This window comes from Homo sapiens, chromosome 7 (genome assembly GCF_000001405.40).
Source record: "Homo sapiens chromosome 7, GRCh38.p14 Primary Assembly".
Classification (NCBI taxonomy): domain Eukaryota; kingdom Metazoa; phylum Chordata; class Mammalia; order Primates; family Hominidae; genus Homo; species Homo sapiens.
In genome coordinates this window covers 150,252,959-150,271,970 of record NC_000007.14, presented here as the reverse complement: position 1 = coordinate 150,271,970, position 19,012 = coordinate 150,252,959, and the positions used below count along the sequence as shown (strand labels likewise).

General features: G+C 41.5%; 1 protein-coding gene across 17 annotated transcripts in view, besides 1 other annotated feature; it reads left to right on the top strand.

Annotated features, from left to right (window-relative positions):
* ACTR3C (actin related protein 3C) overlaps nucleotides 1-19,012 on the top strand; it is a 442,186-nt gene that overhangs the window by 51,575 nt on the left and 371,599 nt on the right. Inside the window, exon 7 of one of the 17 annotated variants that reach the window (XM_005250043.5) lies at nucleotides 7,097-8,083. The exons of 15 other annotated variants lie outside the window; for them this stretch is intronic. In XM_005250043.5, coding sequence (XP_005250100.3) covers nucleotides 7,097-7,162 — 66 coding nt within the window. In that variant the 3' untranslated portion in view covers nucleotides 7,163-8,083. Of the gene's footprint in view, nucleotides 1-4,675; nucleotides 5,819-7,096; nucleotides 8,084-19,012 lie in introns of those variants that run through there. One more of the 17 variants, XM_011516511.4, reaches the window with a different exon arrangement.
* Nucleotides 2,557-3,057: an enhancer, noted in NCBI's record as "H3K4me1 hESC enhancer chr7:149966003-149966503 (GRCh37/hg19 assembly coordinates)". NCBI's record gives its function as "activates a minimal SCP1, AML or CMV promoter by ChIP-STARR-seq in naive H9 embryonic stem cells {active_cell/tissue: H9 hESC(naive)}" and the evidence as "EXISTENCE:reporter gene assay evidence [ECO:0000049][PMID:30033119]".

Here is a 19,012-nt window from a genome sequence, read left to right as displayed (position 1 = left end):
CTTGTATAAAGTAACTTTTAGAATGGAAATAACCCTTCCATTAAAGTGTTTCCATTTCATCTGGGCGAGGGGGGAGGTATGCTTTTGTAGTTGAGTGTTAAGACAAGAAAGGTTTTCCTTGGTTTCAGTTACTGTAACACTTAATTTTTGATTTTCTGTTTGTCATGTGCAACATGGTGGTTGGTGGTAAGAATGGGTTCATTTCTTTTCCTCCAAAGGGACTAAGGATCTAGAACCAGAAATACCATTTGACCCAGCAATCCCATTACTGGGTATATACCCAAAGGACTATAAATCATTCTGCTATAAAGACACATGCACACGTATGTTTATTGCAGCACTGTTCATAATAGCAAAGACTTGGAACCAACCCAAATGCCTATCACTGATAGACTGGATAAACAAAATGTGGCACATATACACCATGGAATACTATGAAGCCATAAAAAAGGATGAGTTCATGTCCTTTGCAGGGACATGGATGAAGCTGGAAACCATCATTCTCAGCAAACTATCACAGGAACAGAAAACCAAACACTGCAGGTTCTCACTCGTAAGTGGGAGTTGAACAATGAGAAGACATGGACACAGGGAGGAGAACACCACACATCCGGGCCTGTTGGTGGGCCTGTTAGGGGAGGGAGAGCATTAGGAGAGATACCTAATGTAGATGACGGGTTGGTGGGTGCAGCAAACCACCGTGGCACGTGTATACCTGTGTAACAAACCTGCACGTTCTGCACATGTACCCCAGAACTTAAAGTATAATAATAATTTAAAAAGTAGTAATGCTTCCTCCATTTCCCACTGTGTCAGACGTGGAGGTTTTTACAGCCACTGACCACTTTTTGCTCTATTAGGAGATGGCAAGTCATTTGACGTTGATTGGCCCTCAAGGGCAGGGTTCCACCTCACTGCTTCAGAGTCTTTCTGTTTGTCCTGGGGAGACATGCTGTGTTGATGGTGTTGTGTTCTGCTGTGGAGGGGAGTCCACATTATAAGAGGGTTGTTGTTGGATTTTGAAGTATATCCAGAGGAGCATCCCCAGAACAGCAAGAGTTCCTGAAAAGATGACCTGTGAGAAATGGTTGAGGGAAGTAGCATTGTTTGACTTGCGACCTGGCAGGGAGCATGAGGCTGTCTTGGGACATGTGATGGGCAGCTAGACGGTGAGCAGTGCCAAGGAAAGAGAGAAACCAGGGCCAGGTGGGTACCAGATTTCAGCTCAGCACAGGGAGAGCTACTTTACAAATTGGTCTATACAAGGTGGGGTCCGAATTCTGTGTCACAGGAAGGGAGGCAGTGTGGACTGGTGGTTAGAGTGCTGTGCTGAGCACATGGGCTGCAGGGCGGGGGGGTGGCGCCCATGTGTGTTGAGTGCGTGGATCCTGCATGGTGGTGAGCATGAGGTCTGCAGGTGTGGATGCCACGTGACCGAGAGCTTCTAGACTGCCAGGTGTGTGTTCTGCCCTGCCTACTGCTTGTTCAGTTGTGTGACTTTGGCAGGTTACTTGATCTCACTGTGCCTCAGCGTCCTTCTCGGCAGAATGGGGATGGGAATAGTACCTGCTTTATCCCATTATTGGCAAGGTGAAAGGAGTTGGTGTGTGGAATTGCCTTCAGCTGTGTCAGGCAGCGCGTAAGCACTGTGATTGTATTCCATGAAATGACTTCAAGTGATATTCTGGAATCGCGCTCCACATCCAGGCCAGGGCAGCAGATTCCTCACCCGCTGCGGCCTCTAGCCGATTGACTTTTCTATTTTTAAAGTTCCCAGGGATTTTGCCTGGTTTCCTTTGCTTTTTTGCCCTGAGCAGCCGCTGCCTTTTGGGACTCCTGCACATCTCGGGTTAGCTGCAGAGTGGCACACCACTTCCCCAGTGGCCCTCTTTGCTGGTGTACAGGCACCTTTGGTTTTACTGCTCAGCGCTAACTAGGGCAGGGTTTCTTAGCCTTGGTGCTGTTGACATTTCCATTGTAGGATGTTTAGCAGCATCTCTGGCCTCTACCCACAAAGTGCCAGTAGCACCTTCCCACCCCCACCCAGTCCTGACAATCAAAATCATCTCCAGATGTTGCTTAATGTCCCCTGGAGGCACAATTGTCCCTGATTGAGAACCCGCGCACTAGGGAGAAACATTAGGAGGTTACCAGAGTCCAAGGACTTAATCAGAAATTGTCAGTTATTGTTTCTGGTTCTTGAGTTACTTGCTGGAGTCTTTTTTCCCTTACTGACCCCCTTTTATTCCAGAGGGTAGAGCAAGTGAAATGCTCCTCGTTCATTCCACGATGCCTGGGGAGGGCCCCTGCTTACCGAGCGCTGTGTGTAGTGGCGGCTTCAGGGAGGAGTGGACGGACCGGGTGTAGACCTGGCCCTGCTCCAGCCTCTGCATGGCCCAGGGCGGAGAGGGCCAAACAAGAGAACCCACTGTGCTTGTCGCCGTCCTGCCTTCCCTGGGCCGGTGCTGACGCCATTACCCTCTAATTTCCCCTCAGACCTGCGAGCGGCCTGGTGATGTCTTCACAGATGAGGGCGTGGGAGCCCACGGGTGGGGGGGTTTGCTGCTTGCTTCAGGCCCCAGCACCAGACAGCGGGGGGAGTGTGAGGCCTTTGGGCATCCCCACCTGGCTCCAGGGAGTAGGCTGGGGTCAGATTGTGAAGGGCTCCGAACGCCCTGTCAGGAAAACGGGGTTTCTACTGCTTTGTCTTCTTAAACGCTTGTCTTCTGCTGGGCTCTGCTCCGGCAGTTCCATAGAGCCTGTCACTTAACACTTGTATGTTCCTTTTAGACTGTATTCCACCCTCCACTCTCGCTCTGGCAGGTCCCCCTTGTCCCCTGAAACTTCTGCTGTCGGCGGCGGGGTGAGGGGAAAGAGTTGCAGCCGGGAGTCGGCCCCATGGGTGGTGCAGGACGGCTTAGGGCCGGGCGGTTCAGGGGCTGCTGAAGTACGAGCCAGCTCCCTCGACCTTGTCCTTGGGAGGCGCCGTCCGGGACAGCTCTGCTCTGGCCGGCCTCCCCCAGGACGTGCCCACACAGGGACCTTTCTAACCGCAGGCTGTAGTTCTTCTGTGGATAGAGATAAAGTTCAGTTCAGTAATTCTAGGCTGAAGCTCAACATGATGAAAATGAGAGCACTTTGCAGCATTAATGTAGAAACAGTATCTGGGCAGAGCTGGCGGGAGACATGTAGGACGGCAGCCTGCCTGGTGGCGCGTGTGCAAGAGACCTCACCAACTCTGCGTTCTTACAGATCCGGAACCCGCTGTGTGTGCCACATCCGTGTAGACAGTGGACGTGGGGATGTATCTGCTGGTAGTTGTCGTGTTCCGAAGCTCAGGCAGGAGCAAAACACGAGTTTTAAACCTGTTATTTGGCCTGGGGCACAGAAGCTCTCGCTTTCTCCCAGAGTCCTCTGTAAAGTGTGTCTGTGTGAAAGAGGACATTTGCCAGTGGGGAGGAGTTGGGCTGGAGGGTGGGGACAACAGGAGTGTATTCAGAGGGCGGAAGGAACAGGGTGGACCGTTACTTTGGGGAGGAGTGAGTAGAGATCAAGGGTTGTTCCTTCTTAAATAGTAAAGGGTTTGTTGAGTTTACTGGTTCACATGAGAATTTCTGAACACAAAGCAAGACGTGGAACTAGGGTGGGAGCTGGAGTTTGCTTTTAGGAAAGGCCTGGAAGTATAGTGCATATTGTTTTCCTGTTGTCCATAGCAACTATGGGGGATTCAATGTTAAAAATGTTAAAATAAAATTGGGTGACTTGGCTCAATCTTATGTCCTCACACAGTTACAGAACATTGAGAAATGAAGAGTTAGAGACTGTACACATTGGCCAAATGTACACCCTCTTTAGGGCATCTTTCTTCTCATTTAAGTCCCCGATGCCACCTTTTCAGCAAGGCCATTCCTGCCCTCTCAACTCAGAGTGGCCCCTTGCCATCACTTTGTCTTCTGTTGCTCTGTTTAAAAGGTTCAACTTTGAGATATAATTTATATAGAGTCAAATGAACCATTGTAAGTGTACGGTTTGAAAAGATGTGACAAGTTTACATACTTAACGTGATAATCACCACAGTTAAGGTACAGAAGGGAACCATCGCTGGCAGAAGTTCCTCAGCCCCTGCTCCAGGAAGGCACCCATCTGCTTCCTGTCACTGTAGATGGGATTTGATTTCCCGAAGTTTCATATACAGGAGTCCCTTCTTATCCGTGGGGCATGCGTCCCAAGACCCCCAGTGGATGGTTGAAACTGTAGATGGTACCACACCCTCTGTATATGATCTTTTTTTCCTGTACATACATACTTTTGATAAAGTTTATAAATTAGGCACAGTAAGAGACTAGCAGCAATAACTAATAATAATATGGATCAGTTATAACAGTGTGTTAGCATCACCACTCTCGTGCTGTGGGGCTATTATTAAATAAAGGGAAGGTCACCTGAACTCAAGCACTGTGATGCTGCAGTAGTCGGTCTGACCACTAAGGTGGCTACTGAGTGACTCAGGGCAGGTGGCGTATACGGTGTGGACATGCTGGACAAAGAGAAGAGACTCGTGCCCTAAGCGGGACAGAGTGGGACAGCTCGAGATTTCATCATACTTCTCAGAATGGTGTGCAGTTTAAAACCTACAAAGTGTTTATTTCTGGAATTTTCCATTTAATCTTTTCAGACTGTGGCTGACCACGGGTAACTGACACCGTGGAGCGTGAGCCGCAGATAATGGGGGGCTGCTGGAAATGGAGTGCTCCGCGTGTTCTCTGTTTCCGGCTTCCTTCACTCGGTGCTTTTGAGGTGTGCATGTCATTTGACGCTTCTTTCTGCTGGGAGCGCCTCAGCGAGCGACTGTGCCACAAGTCAGCCGTCCCCTGCTGGTGGACATTTGAGTTGTTTCCAGTCTTAGCTATTACAAAAAACCCTGCTATGAACATTGGAAATGTACTCAGTGTCTGCTGAATATGTTTTATTCTCCTTGGGAAGTACCCAGGAGTGCAGTTGCTGTGTTGTATGGTTAAGTTTTTCCAAAGTACTTACAGCATCTACCCTCCCACCAACAGTGTACAAGAGTTGCAGTTGTTCGTCTTAACCCAGACTTGGTGTGTGGTGGATTTAAGCTGTATGATCCTGATGACAAATATTGTTGACTGTCTTTTCCTGTACTTAGCGGTCATTTGTATATTTTCTTCTGTGAAATGTCCATTTGAATCTTTTGCCCATTTTTCATTGATTTGTTTATTGAGTGACAACTCAATAGTAAGAGTTCTTCAGATATCCTAGATACAAATTCTTTGTCAGATTTATGTGTTGCAGATTTTTTTTCTAGTCTGTGGCTTGTCTTTTCATTTTCTTAGTGGTGGTTTTTGAAGAACAGAAATGTATGGAACCCCATTTATAAACTTTTTTCTTTTATGGTTCATGCTTTTTTATGTGCTAGCTAAGAAATTTTTGCCTACCACAAAATTACGAAGTTTTTAAAAAATGGTTTTTCAAAGAAATTTTGTGCTTTTAGCCCTTACATTTAACTCAGTGATAAATTTTGAGTTAATTTGTGTATATGAAATGAGAAAGTAAATAAATGTTCATCCTCTCACTCCATGGATATCAATTATTCCCACATCATTTGTTGAAGAAGACTGTTATTTCCCTATTGAAGTATCCTGATGACTTTGTCTAAAATCATTTGACCACATATGCATAGCACTGTTTGTATGGTTATGTGAATAAAAGAAATGAATTTATATAATGCCTTTGAAGGAAATTCAAGATCATGTAATACTTCTCAAGTATTATAATAAACATTTATTTTCATACCCTACTGAATAATTTTTTAGTTAAAAAACCTATTACAGAGACATGACAAGTAATTGCACAGTCTTACCCTGCACTGGACTCTGGACTGGAGAGAAAAAAAATGCCTTAAAGAATATTAATAAATCAAGTAGCAAAATGGGAATAGGAACAGCAGATTAAAGTTCTGTATTAATGTTAAGTTTATGAAGTTGGCAGTTGTACTGTGGTAACGTAAAAGAACGTTCTCAGTTTTAGTAAATACACACTAAAGTATTTAGTAGTAAAGGGCCATGATGTATATAAGTTACTCTCAGATGCTCCCCGCTCCTAGATGTGTGTGCGTGTGGGAGGGGACAGAATAAATGCATGCAAACGATAAATAAAAACACTCTACCAGAAATGTTAACAGTAGGTAAATCTGAATAAAGAGTGTATCACTTTTGCTGAGCTTGAAATTCTTTCTAAATTAAAAAATTATTTATTTTTATGTTTTTGAGATGGAGTTGCCCAGGGTGGAGTGTAATGGTGCCATCTCGGCTCACTGCAACCTCCGCCTCCCGGGTTCAAGCGATTCTCCTGCCTCAGCCTCCTGAGTAGCTGGGATTACAGGTGTGTGCCACCATGCCCAGCTAATTTGTGTATTTTTAGTAGAGATGGGGTTTCACCATGTTGGCCAGGCTGGTCTCTAACTCCTGACCTCAGGTGATCCGCCTGCCTCGGCCTCCCAAAGTGCTGAGATTACAGGCATAAGCCATCATGCCAGACCTAAAAAACTTTTTTTTTTTAAATAAAATGTTTTTTTAAAAAAATCTATTACATTAATTTGTTGGCTTAATATTTGCCTTTTACATAAAAGTGGAATTTAAATGTATTAAATTAGCCATAATAGTGATTTAAAAAAACTAGGTTGTTAGGCTTACGTTTATTTGAAATAGAAATTTATCTGAAAACTAAATGGCCATTCTAGATGTAATGGTCACTTACCATTTCAAGAAAAAAAGTTTTATGATGATGTCTTCTGTTACAAATTCTTTCTTATTGTCTGAAATCCAGCTCTCAGTTTGGCTGGGTAAACTGGCCTTTTTGAAGTTTTCTGAGGATAAATTTTATCTCTCACTATCTTTTTGGTGACCTAGTTTGATTACAGTGGTAAAAATTATTACAGAGCCTTATGCACAAGAGCCCATGTATGTCTTAAGAAGGTGGAGTTACTGTTCAGTTCGGGTATCACTCCAAGGATTTAATGTGAGTCTGATTGTATTTGTTAAGTCCTCTTTTGTATTTGATCTATTTTCTACCACAGCAAAGTCAACAGAAAAAGCCTGTAATGCTACCAGATACAGATTATCTACTTCTAGGCCAGAAGTAAATCTGAGAGGATTTAGAGGAAATTAGTACAACCGGTGAGCTCTCATACAGTGGTCGACCTGGTTGGTGAGACCATCTTGTCCACTTGCCATGGCCAAGTGGGGTCCGTTGCTGTCTTATCCACCACCTGCAACTGTGAGTGTCTTAATCGACTCGGTTTAGGGACTTTTGTTTTCTTCAACTTGTCTTTGCTTTGAAGTTTTAATATACATTTATATACAGTATATGCTGGGTAATATACATTATAACCTGGACTCAGAGCACCCCTCAGTTAGTGTTTTCATTTTTTGCCCTTTTTCTGTCTCTCCTGTTCCACATTCTTCTCATTTGCTGCGTACTTTCTGAGCTCATGATGTTCCTTTCTGAGTTTTCTAACTTCTCCAGAAGCACCTTGATGGCACAGGCCATCCCAAATCTTGCCAGTATTCATGCAGTGTTGTCTTCAGGTTTTATTTGTTGCCTAGTTTTAAAGTTCACTGTCTGTGGCCACGCTGATGGTGCCCATGCACAGTGCTGACCGCAAGGAGCTCTATTCCGTGCTGAGCTGGACACTTGGAGCTCACATGACGTTTCACGGTGAGGAAGCAGGGATTCTGAATCGCAAAGGAGCAGCGCGAATGAGGGATGTTTGGCCCCCGCCTGTTGCTGGGTTGTGACCTCCCTTCACAGAATCTCTTGAGATGGATGCCACTCCTGAAGTGACTTGGCTCTGTTTTAGGGGCCTACTCGTGGGGTGGTGTGTGCAGCTCTCCCGGCGCTCAGGAAAAGTGGAGTACAGGGACGCCTGAGGGATGATCTGCCATCGGCCAGGGCCCTGCCTGCCTTAGCCCCCGCTGAGAGCTCAGCATAGTCATAGCTTCCACCTGCAGCTGTCTTCCTGAGTATTTGCTTAAGTGAAAATAAAGATTCAGCCATGAAATGATTTTTGTTTTATTTATTTATTTTTAGTGTAGGAAACAAATAGAATTGCTATTTAGAAGAAAAATCTGAAATGAATGCATTTAAAACATTCAAATGATTGAGAAAGTAGCTCTTAAGCTAATGATCATTTCTTTGCAGATATTCTGTCTTTTTCCCTCTGAAAGGCAAAGACTGTTTGTCCACGTTGTTCTTCGTTTTCAGTCTCATATTTCTAGGTATAGATTTCTTTTTATTTCTCCTGCATAGGATTCACTGGGATTTCTGAATCTGAAGATTGGCTTTTGAACAATCATAGACAATTCCCTTTCATAGTCTCTTCAAATAGTGTCTCTTTTCCACATCCTGTGTTGTCTCTTTCTGATACTTCAAAGGGATTAATTTGAGACTTCTTACTTAATCCTCTGTTTCTTTACCTGTCTTAAACTTGGTAGTTCTCTAAGCGGCAACATTGTACTTTCTCCAGATCTATTTTCCAGGCCAACAATTCTCTTAATAGCATCATGGCTAGAAAGAAGTATAGATAAAATAGAAAGATAGACAGAAACGATGATTAGATAGACAGACAGATGGATTCTTACAGGAAATATGAGGTCTCCAGATAAGAGAACAGTCTTTATTACTCACAGAACATCTTGGCCCCAGATCGCCACTGGACTATACATATGTTTCTGCTTTAAATTGTATAGGTGAATATATGGGGGACATATGTTCACCTGTACAATTTGTGGACTCCTGTGGCCATATTAAATTATCATCATTTCTTTAATGTGCTCATCTCTTCCGACTTCCTACTGTTTTCTCTAAATAGGAAGCCTCCATACCTCTCTTCATTTAGACAGAGTCTTCTAGTTCGTTACATCTCATCTTACTTCAAGTACCACACCCGCTAGGAAGTCTTCTTTGAACGTCTTTGCTGCTTTAGCAACCTGTACTTATCTCTCTCAAGGCATTCATCACACAGTTTTTTAATGAACAGATTATTGTTTGTCTCTTTTATTTCACTTTCAAGCCCTTGGGGGCGAGATATCTTTTTTATTCTTATTTCGCAATACCCATCTGAAATCCTGGTACATAGTAATTTTCAGTGTTTTCCTACTACTCTAATCAAATAATCATTGCTCTCCAGTTTTCCATTTATTATTATTTTGTAAGATTATATTAGAATCATAAAATGTTAGATGTAGATGGAAACCTAGGGGACATCTATTTTACATGATATAAAATTGCTATCAGTATTTTTTCTTTGTTTTAACGACTGACATCAGTTGGGAAACTCTTAGCCCTGCCTTATCTCACATCTCCTGGATCAGCATAAGTTTATGTGCCTAAAATCTCATTTCATGGGAGAAAGGAAAATGGGTATCTTGCAGCAAGAATGTAAGGGGAGGACAATGTCACTGGGTAAGCAAAACAGAGTTTGTAAATTTATCAGTACTTCTTCCCACCCAGAAAAGGCTCGGTTTAGAGAAAAAAAAAGTTACAGACATTTCTATTTTCAACATTTTCCCTAACATCCATTACTGAGTTCCACCAGCTATGTCTAAGTTGACAAGGCAGCAACTTCAGTTCATTTGTTCAAGTGTACTTTGATTTGCATAGTTTCATAACCTGTTAGCATCTGCTCATTGATAATTCTGAGCTTGTGCTTTCCTGACGATTTTTTACTGCAGAGGTGGAAAAGTACTAAACGGCAATTTGTTTCTTTAATTTTCCTGTGCAAACAAAGTCAGGGAACAAAGAAAGATGCATGGTGACTGCAAAATATCATTATTATTTTATCAACAATGATAATACAATACTCCATGAGTACAACTTCTTAGTAATAAATGCACATAAAAGCAAGATAGCCAGGAAGTGCAAAGGACAAATTCCCATAATGCTACATGAATTGTTTTGCATAGGGCCCACTGTAGCCTCCTGCTGCCTAATAGATAAATTGAAAATTTTGCAACTCTACATCTATCTCACCAGCTTTCAGACTGTGCACTAGCTATGCCAAATTGACTAATGTGGATCGAGACTAATTATAAACATAAGTAGAATTCCTAGTACACCTGTGCTAAGATTTCAGGAGCTAGTACTTCAGTATATGACATTAGGGGCCACTGTCAGCAATTTCTTTAGAAGGAAAATAAGATCTCACTGGGACTCTAAAGGTACAGTTTATTTATTTATTTATTTATTTATGAGATGGAGTCTTGCTCTGTTGCCCAGGCTGGAGTGTAATGGCGTGATCTCTGCTCACCGCAACCTCTGCCTCCCCGGTTCAAGCAATTCTGCTGCCTCAGCCTCCCAAGTAGCTGGGATTATAGGCATGTGCCACCACGCCCTGCTAATTTTTTGTGTTTTTAGTAGAGACGGGGTTTCACCATGTTGGCCAGGCTGATCTCCAACTCCTGATAAAGGTACAGTTTAAAAGGTACCTCTTTTGGAGTAATAAAAATGTATGGACTCAAATTTGTCAGAATGTTAAATGGGCAAAAGGTGGAGGATACTTTCTGAGGAAGAAACAGGCTAGAGAGTGCACAAGTAAATTTAATGCTTCAAGTAGAAAAAGAGTTAGAAAGAATACAAGGGAAAAATTACATCTGATTTCCTTTTCTGCTAACCGAAATTTAGCCTCTACTTCCATTATGCATCCAGGCAGCAGCCACAGTTGCATTAGCAATACCTGTGACGGTCTCACCAGCAGAAATTATGACTTTCAGTATTTTAATATCACATTCACAGTGGCTCCAAATATCTTGAAAAGTTTACTCTCAGCATGACTTTGAAATTATAATTGTTATTATATCCACCACATTAAATACAGAATCACAGAAGTTATTATATCAAATATTTGTTGCTTTTAAAGTTTTGCTTAAAAACTTCAATTTCTAGTACTACAGTTTCAATATAATTTATTGCCTTTGTCATCTCATGGCTTTCTCCTTCTTCTTCCTTTAGCATTTATAAACTTTATTTTGAGAAGTGTCTACAAAGTTTGTCAGACTGCAAAGAAGTCCATATCTCATAAAAGACCAAGCTTTAAAGGTGGAAGAAGAAAGGAAAAGTCAGGGTTCTGTTAATAAAGTTCTGTTTTGCTTCTAGCAAAAAAAGCATATGCTCCCTTATGAATACACTAATGGACAATTTAAAAATCAATGTCAGCGTAATGATGGTAAGCACAGCTTCCAAACAGCATCCCTTCTAGATTGCCAGAAGATGATCACGCAGACCCCGAAGCTTAGGGGGCAGCCAGAGGCCTGAACCCCCGTCCTAGGTTAATTCACCTTTTGCATGGTAACAATTGAACACCATTTACAAAGTAGGGAGAATTATTTTGATTGATATTAATTGAAACTTGCAAACAAGCACAAAAATTAAGTGAGCAACAAAAGGATTAGGAACTGAAACCTCCCTTTTACTAATCATTTCCCTTTCCCTCTACAAAACAAACAAAAAAAGATATGAAGGTAAAGAAACTATCTACTCCAATTACTTTAATTCATTTGGATGAACATTTTACTCTACGAATTTCTAGGGATTTGATTCTCTGATCTGGACATACTTGTAATCAAACAGAACATAAAATTGACCATTTTTGTGTGCTAATTTTGTGCTAGACACCCTGTTGAATAAATGAAAGAATATTATTAAGCATATACTACATGCCAGATACTTTCCTATACCAAAGATTGGCAAACTTTTTTCTGTACAGGGCCAGATAATAAATATTTTCGATTTTGCAGGCCACAAGGCAGCCTCTGTTGCAACTGAGGGCAGTACAAAAACAGTTATAGGCAATATATACACAATGGGTGATTGCATTCCAATACAACTTTATTTGCAAAAACAGGCACTGGAGCATATTTAGCCCACGGCCTGTAGTTTGCCAACTTCTGACCTAGATATTGCAGTACGGAACAAAAGGTCAAAAATTCCCTATTTTGTGGAGCTTACATGCCAGGAGAGGAAGATGAACCATGAGCAAAGTGAACATACTAATTCTATGGGGTATTTTAAGGTGCCCTGGTGAGGAATCCAGCAGGGACAAGGCAGGAGGGTCATGGGGGAGCTCACAACCTTTGCTATGGTGACAGGTGGGGCACCTTTGAGAAGCAAATATTTTATACAATTTTTGGCAGAAATGAGCAAGCAAGCCATGGGCAAGAGTATTCCAGCTGCTTAGATCATTATAATGACCATCTAGGATAAAAAATATTATTTCTCTCTGACAGGAGAAAATGGAGACTCATTTCCTTGTCAAAATTCTAATGGCTAAGCTCATCCAGACCATGAAATCGGTAATTCTGGGAGCAGGTTAAAGGCCTTGCTGTTTTTTCTTTCTAAAGCTCTCTAGGTTATTTTAACATGCAGCCATGGTTGACAGTCTTCACTAGGTCATGCTGACTTTTAACTTATTCAATTTATTTTAAAGAAAACAAGCTAACAGAAAAATACTTTGATAGGCAAAAATTAAGTTCATAGGGTCAGATATTCGTTTTTGATTTTTATTATTTTAGATCTAGTCCTGAATTCAGATTTCTTTCTTTCTTTCTCTGTCTTTCTTTCTTTCTTTCCTTTCTTTCCTCTCTTTTTCTTTCTTTCTTTCTTTTTCTTTCTTTCTTTCTTTTTCTTTCTTCTTTCTCTTTCTTTTCTTTCTGTCTTTTCTTTCTTTCTTTTTGTATGTGTCAGACATTCTATAGCTTCTGAGATTCTCATTGTGTTTGTGAAGATATTCTGAAAAGAAGACAGTAAAGGACTTATTAGGGAAAATTAAAGTAGGATCTGGGGAAGGCTGGAGAGACCACAATACAGGAGGGTGAGAGAATTAATATGACCCTGAGGCAAAATGTAAGTGAATATTTTTGCCCCTTCCAAGTGAATATGAATTATTTCTAATCATCTTTGCTAATTAGAATGGGAAAAACACATTTATCAAATCAATGGTTGCCTGCAATAGACATGAGGCCATATTTGTCTGCTCCAGCAACTATACCATATCTGTCTGCAAACACAGCTATTATTTATTCATCTGTGCTCATCAATAGTCTTTTTCCAGGATCTGTCCAGCTTTTGCAGGAGCCAAATTGATGAGTTAAATGGAGACATAACAGGGATCACCCTTGCTGTATTCTTATGTTGGATCTTTAATGGTGGCACAAGTCTTTTCTGTCTCTCCCAGGATACAATATTGTTTTTTACTTACTATTTTGGCAGAGGGGTGAGAGGGAATTTCAGAGGTTTCCACTTGGCCTTTCTCCATGATGACAGTTTTTTTCTCACATTGCAGAAACCCAATAAGGGGGTTACTACAATTACTAAGGACGTCAGTTCCAATTATGTACTTGGAGATTGTAGAAATGACCTTTGAGTAGATTCATGGACCTAGCAGACCACTGAAAGGTGGACTTTAGCCACAATTTCTAATTTGGCCTAACTCTCATAGCCCTCTGTGCTCCAAAGCTGGGCTATGATGGATCTTTGGATTTTTATTCGGGTCAATCAATGTCAATTCGGGCCCTTTATTAAGTAGTCTTTGAAATGGCTTGTTATTCTTTTTTCCTCAGTATAAAGAAGCCTAAGTAAATGGCTACAGGTCCCTTTGAGGAAGATTGAGGGCGTTTTCACAGCATATGCCATGGTATGGTAGGGTCTTTCTTCCTAGGAATAATGCCAGTGGATTCTGAATTTGAAAATTTGGCTGAGGTCTGGCAACTGAGCAGGAACTTGGACTTGTTAACAGTGTGACTGTGCTTGACTTTCTGATACTCCGTTCTAACTTTTTTTCCTAGTTATAGATGTTAAGCAGCATTCTTCTTGGCTGCCTATTCATTTACCCACTACAGACACTCTATTAACCATCTCCTCAAGTCCCTGTGGGCCACACCCCCTTGGTCGCACCTCTAACCTCCTGGCATCTAGCGGTGAAGCCCCAGAACCTGGCTTCTCCTGGCATGGAGCTCCATCATCTTCATGATGTTGTTGAGTGGACTCCTTTGACTGCCTCTCCAACCACCAGAAGAGCCACCACCAAACTTATTATTGATGATGGTGCCCCTCTCCCAGCACATTCTTTATGGTCTTAGTGAAGAGTGAGCTTTCTGCTCCTTCTCTTGGACTATGACCTTCTCTTGGGTCTTTTGGTCTGACATAATATACAATCTCTGCTTCCTTCAGCATATCCTCTGGCTTCTGACAGGGCAATTTGGGCATTTCCATTCTGCTGAGTATTGGGCATTGCTGTTTTCAAGTTTCTAAGGGCTGCTCTAGGAACATGGTTGCACCATTTCTAATCCCAGGAGTGCTCCTCTGGTTCCTGCTCATACAAAACAGCTAATTCATTCAACTCTTTGGGTGTATAGAGTCCCTCCTCCCTGATCAGGGCCAGCATGTTCCAAACTGGGCTATATTAGCATTTCCTTCTTGGTATTGGCCTGGCAGGAAAGGAGACATGTCTGTCCAGACATATGTCCTTGTACCACGGTCTCTGGTCTCAGTCCTTTTCTCACCTGAGCAGTGACCTCAGCCATGCATTCATATGTCCCTGGAGCTCTGCAGTTCTAAAAATTAGGTCTTCCTAATTGTCTGAGCTATGTCATTCCCTTCCACTGTAGGAGATATGAGCCTCCTTGTAAACTAGCACAGAGGCCCTCTGGCTTCCAGCCTTACCCATTAACGACTCAACAGCCCTCAGTCTCATTATCCTTCTGCAAGGTCTTTTTTTAATGCTATAATTTTTCCTCAAAGTCCTGCTTTAGCTACCTCATAATTTTGATATGTTACATACTCATTTTGTTTTAGTACAAACTATGTTTTGATTTTTCTGAGTATTCCCAGTTTTCTCCATAAGTATTTAGAATTACTTTAATTTCCAAATATTCAGGGACAATCATATCATTTTTGTTAGTTATTTGTAGTTAATTTCATTGCAATTCAAGAATATACTCCATATGGTTTGAGTTTATTAAGGTTTTTAATATATTAGGATATAATTATTCTTATTAAATGAACCATGTTTACTTGAGAAGCCTGTGTATTTTGCTGTTTTGGGGTGGAATGTTCTCTACATGTCAGTTAAGCCAACTAATTTTGTTTTTGCTTTCTGCTCCCACATCACATGTGTTTATTTTTTTTTTTACAACTTTCATTTTAGGTTTGGGGGTACATGCACAGTTTTGTTCATGTATAAATTATGTGTCACTAGGGTTTGGTGTACAAATGATTTTGTCACGCGGGTAGTGAGCATAGTAGACAACAGGTAGTTTTTGGACCTTCATCCTACTCCCACCCTACCTCCTCAAGTAGGCTTCTGTGTCTATTGGTCCCATCTTTGTGTCCACACGTACTCAGGGTTTCACACCCACTTATAAGTGACAATAAACGGTATTTGGTTTTCTGTTCCTGTGTTAACATCTGACATCAGTTCTCACATCAGTTAGAATGGCTATTATAAGAAAGTCAAAAAACAACAGATATTGGCGAGGTTGCAGAGAAAGGGAATGCTTATACACTGTTGATGGGAATGTAAGTTAGTTCAGCTGCTGTGGAAAGCAGTTTGGAGATTTCTCAAAGAACTTAAAACAGAACTACCATTCGGCCCAGCAGTCCCATTACTGGGTGTATACCCAAAGGAATATAAATTGTTCTACCAGGAAGACACAGGTACCTATATGTTCATTGCAGAACTATTCACAATAGTAAAGACATGGACTCAACCTAGATGTCCATCCATGGAGGACTGGATAAACAAAATGTGGTACGTACACTCCATGGAATACTACACTGTCATAAAAAATGAAATCATGTCCTTTGCAGCCACATGGATGCAGCTTCTGTAGGGTCTTAAAACAACTTAGTGATAACCAATTGACTCTCATGTATCTCTACATTGTTTCCCTGTTTTGTATTTCTCTAGAGGTGGGAAGAAAGGAACACATGATTGTTGTTACTTGGAGAAACCACTTAAATTTCTATTTCAAAGCATGTGTCCATTTTTGAGTGAGTTCCTAAAAATATTATTTTCCCAGTCAAATAGAATTTGTAATAGCCCAAGATATACAAGCTTTAGAGAACCTGCAATATTTCTTAATCAATGAGTAAACTTCAGATATACACACTCATGTACACATATGCACCCTTGGTAAGAAAGGACGGAGCTGTGTCTTGGGGTAAATTATACTATAAGGTGAAAATACTTCTCTCTTGCTGTTGGCAAACGATCATTCCAAAGACATGCCACTGCAAATGGTTTCTCCTGCTAGTTACTAGCAAGAGTCTGCATATGTAGAGCCATCTCTTCACTGTTCATTTTTTAAAGGGCACTGGGCTCCCTGGGCAACCTGCTCCCTTGCAGTGAACTTGACTCTGTACTCTGAAGGGAGTGGGTAGGTGATCCAAGACTGACAGTTTATATTCATCTGACTAGGTAAGTGTATTGAGTCCAGGTATACACAGCAGTCCCCACAGAGGGCACCTAAGGTCTAGATTTCAGGAAGACATATGGGAGCCTACTAGCGTTCAAGTCAAAACCCTACTAAATCTAAAGAAATGATGTAGTTCAGATATGCTGGGCATCTGCCTAGTCTGTTAACAGGCTGATCCATTTATCCTGCTCCATAAGAGAAAAACTCGAAAGCAAAAAAAAAAAAAAAAAAAAAAAAATCCCCTACAAAACTTTTGGCAGATTTCTGATTGCCCTAGGAAGCATCTTCGCCCCAGCAAGGAGCATTTCCTTCCATTGAACACGCAATCTACAGGGAATTAGGACATGTTCTTACGCTGTGACTTTTGGAGCATTTTATTTTCTTTTTTCTAGTTCAAAATTTTCCTGGAAAATAATGAAGTGAACTCAGACACCACAGGCTCTATAATTATGAGATTTTTGTGGAAAATCCTGGGGACAATTTGGCTTAATGCATATTTATTTAAATGTCATAAAAGTCAACTCATCAAAGTTGTAGGGCCACTTTCAAACTTGATGCCATATTCGAGGAAGACAGGAAATGTAGCAGAGTAAGCCTATGTCCTCTGGAAATTGGTTTTGTTACCTGAATGTCAGGGGTTCAGTCTAGGTCCTGTTGCTTGCTGCACCGAAAGCCAGTCATTGATATAACGAGCACTGCCATGGAAGACAGCTTTAATTGGGTGCTGTAGGAGAGCAGATGGCAGATCAGTCTTAAATCCACCTGCCTGAGCAACTGAAATGATGGGTGTATGTAGTGAGGAAGAAATGTAACCAAGTGTGGGAAAGCAGGAATAAGGGAGGGGTAAAGAAGAAGAACTGGTCAACAGGAAGCAGGTTTAGGTAATCAACACAGGTGATGAGTCTGGTGTCTCATGGTCCAGATGCCATGATCTGGTAAGTTTCGCTCTTTGATACTGTCTGGGAGGCCTGATCCTTTATTTTCTGAGAAAGGAACTCAGATAATACAAATGTAACATGTTTAAGTTTTAAGACTGGGAAGGTCAATTTTTATGTTTATTTAAAAGAAACAATAAACATCAGTTCTATAGGACAATTGGGAGGCTTTTTTATATCTCAAAGAACTACAAACATTATGATAAGCAATTTATACTTGATTCTGCCATGTGTCTACCTTTCTTATTATAATATAGGATCAGGGTTCCAATGTTGAAATGGACAAAAGCCATCATTCCAAACACCCCACTGGTTCTCCAAGCCATGCCCAAGCACATCACTCTCATCAATATGGGGTATCTCTAAAGAGGGGTAAATCATTTCTCTCTCTCTAGCACTCAGCACCCAACATGTATACTCAAGTTTGCAGGTGGGTACAGGAAAGGACAGTTCTTCATCACAAAACACTAGTTACCCTTGGCTTCACTATGACACATTTAAGTGGAGAACATTAGGGAATAGTCAAAGGTGTGTTGAAATTAATTCTCAAGTTTTCAAGCTCAGACTGCTAGGTACCCTACTGACTGAGTCTATACCCAATGATACCAGTGAAAATGCTGGGGGAAAAAAAAAAACACGAAAAAAAACTGTACTTAGCAACCCTGCAACAGCAAGTCAGGGTACATTATACTGTAACTTCTTCCATCTGGCAGATGTATGCTTCATTACATCTGCACAGTTAGAGGGGATCGCATGGCATATTGTTTCAATTATTATCAATAGCCAATACCGATGGGCCGCTTGCCACTAAAAAGGATCAACATGTAATTTAGAAAAACGGCATAAACTATAAGTACAAATTGTACTATTTATTACTATCCCATTATTAATTTGTACTTCTGGATATTATGATTGGTATTTGGTAATTTCCAGCTACTTGGAAATAAGAACATCCTCTGAGAGCTAAACAATAAAATCAATCCACAAAAAACCAAAGACGCATGATGCAATGTCACCAGGGAGAGAAAAGGGATCTCAGGTTACAGCAAAACTTTACTACAATCAGATTAAAGGTATTAATTTAGTTAAAGAAGTCAGGATGCTAGAGCTCTGCATGGATCACAGAAAAAAATATTAAAATCGGGTAAAAACAAAAACCCCAAACAGCTTCAGTGGACATCAGGAGACTTGAGGGCCATTTGCACCTGAGACTGGAAAGCTATGCAGACTTAGGCAACTTGAAATTAAATTCTAGAGGATAAAGAGGTGTAAGATAATTTGCTCTGTCCCTGAAAAATGGCAGCCTTTATATATTTCAGAACCAGCCAGAGGACATTACCCATGCATGACTTTATCTTCTTGTGTAGACTCCAAGGGTGCTGTTGGGCCCGCTCTGCCACCATCTTTACACGGCGTGGGCAGAGGCACATCCACCACCCTCTGCTGGTCTTCAAGTACACGTCATTCAGCAGCGTGATATCCTGTAAGCAGCCAGTATACGTAAAAACAGCCCAGCCATGGGGCAGCTCTCTCATCCACAACCTGCAGAAAAGAGTCAAGAAGGGCTTACCGCTGCAGAATCTGCAG